Below are 2,437 nucleotides of genomic sequence, written 5' to 3'. Positions count from 1 at the left end.
GCTGACTCTCTTTTCGGACTCAGCCCGCCTGCACTCATGTGAAATAAACAGAGTTGTTGCTCACACAAAGCCTGTTTGGTGGTCTCTTCACATGGACGCACGTGAAATTTGGTGCTGTGACTCGGATCGGGGGACCTCTCTTGGGAGATCAATCCCCTGTCCTCCTGCTCTTTGCTCTGTGAAAAAGATCCACCTATGACCTCAGATCCTCAGACCCACCAGTCCAAGGAACATCTCACCAATTTTAAATCGGGTAAGTGGCCTCTTCTTACTCTCTTCTCCAACCTCTCTCACTATTCCTCAATCACTTTCTTCTTTCTACTCTTCAATCTCTCCCTTCTCTTAATTTCAATTCCTTTCATTTTCTGGTAGAGACAAAGGAGACACGTTTTATCCATGGACCCAAAACTCCGGCGCCAGTCACGGACAAGGGAAGACAACCTTCCCTTGGTGTTTAATCATTGCAGGGACAACTTTCTGATTATTCACCCAGGTTTCAGAGGTGTCAGAACACGCAGGGACGCCTACCTTGGTCCTTCACCCTTAGCGGGAAGTCCTGCTTTTCTGGGGAAGGGGCAAGTACCCCAACCCCTTCTCTCCATGTCTCTACCCCTTCTCCACCTTTCTGGGGGGCAAGAAACCCCCAACCCCTTCTCCTTCACCCTTAGCAGCAAGTCCTGCTTTTCTGGCGGAGGGGCAAGTACCCCAACCTCATATCTCCGCACCCCAATCCCTTATTTCTGAGCCCCGACCTCTTATCTCTGTGCCCCAATCCCTTACTTCCGTGCCACGACCTCTTATATCTCTGCACCCTGACCTCTTATATCTCTGCGCCCCAATCCCTTATTTCCGCACCCCAACCTCTTATATCTCTGCACCCCAATCCCTTATTTCCACACCCCAACCTCATATCTCTGTGTCCCAACCCCTTTCCCGCTTTTCTGGAGGGTAAGAACCCCCGAACCCCTCCCTCCGTGTCTCTACTCTCTCTTTTCTCTGGGCTTGTCTCCTTCACTATGGGCAACCTTCCACCCTCCATTCCTGCTTCTTCTCCCTTAGCCTGTGTTCTTAAGAACTTAAAACCTCTTCAACTCTCACCTGACCTAAAATCTAAGCATCTTATTTCCTTCTGCAATGCCACTTGACCCCAATACAAACTCGACAGTAGTTCCAAATAGCCAGAAAATGGCATTTTCAATTTTTCCATCCTACAAGATCTAAATAATTCTTGTCATAAAATGGGCAAACGGTCTGAGGTGCCTGACTTCCAGGCATTCTTTTACACATTGGTCCCTTCCTAGTCTCTATGACCAATGCAACTCATCCCAAATCTTCCTTCTTTCCCTCCTGCCTGTCCCCTCAGTCCCAACCCCAAGCGTTGCTGAGTCTTTCTAATCTTCCTTTTCTACAGACCCATCTGACCTCTCCCCTCCTCACCAGGCTGAGCTAGGTCCCAATTCTTCCTCAGCCTCCGCTCCTCCACCCTGTAATCCTTTTATCACCTCCCCTCCTCACACCTGGTCCGGCTTACAGTTTCATTCCCTGACTAGCCCTCCCCAACCCGCCCAGCAATTTACTCTTAAAAAGGTGGCTGGAGCTAAAGGCATAGTCAAGGTTAATGCTCCTTTTTCTTTATCCCAAATCAGATAGCGTTTAGGCTCTTTTTCATCAAATATAAAAAACCAAGCCCCAGTTCATGGCTTATTCGGCAGCAACCCTGAGACGCTTTACAGCCCTAGACCCTAAAAGGTCAAAAGGCCGTCTTATTCCCAATATACATTTTATTGCCCAATCTGCTCCCGACATTAAATAAAACTCCAAAAATTAAATTTTGACATTCAAACCCCACAACAGCATTTAATTAACCTCACCTTCAAGGTGTATAATAATAGAAAAAAGTTGCAATTCTTTGCCTCCACTGTGAGACAAACCCCAGCCATATCTCCAGCACACAAGAACTTCCAAATGCCTGAACCGGAGCAGCCAGGCATTCCTCCAGAACCTCCTCCCCCAGGAGCTTGCCACAACTACCAGAAATCTGACCACCAGGCCAAGGAATGTCTGCAGCCCAGGATTCCTCCTAAGCCGTGTCCCATCTGTGCGGGACCCCATTGGAAATCCGACTGTTCAACTCACCTGGCAGCCACTACCAGAGCCCCTGGAACTCTGGCCCAAGGCTCTCTGACTGACTCCTTCTCGGCTTAGCAGCTGAAGACTGACGCTGCCTGATCGCCTCAAAGCCCCGTAGACCATCACGGATGCCGAGCTTTAGGTAACTCTCACAGTGGAGGGTAAGTCCGTCCCCTTCTTAATCAATACAGAGGCTACCCACTCCACATTACCTTCTTTTCAAGGGCCTGTTTCCCTTGCCTCCATAACTGTTGTAGGTATTGACGGCCAGGCTTCTAAACCTCTTAAAACTCCCCAACTCTGGTGC

Source organism: Homo sapiens, chromosome 8 (genome assembly GCF_000001405.40).
Source record: "Homo sapiens chromosome 8, GRCh38.p14 Primary Assembly".
Classification (NCBI taxonomy): domain Eukaryota; kingdom Metazoa; phylum Chordata; class Mammalia; order Primates; family Hominidae; genus Homo; species Homo sapiens.
This window is presented reverse-complemented; position numbering follows the sequence as displayed.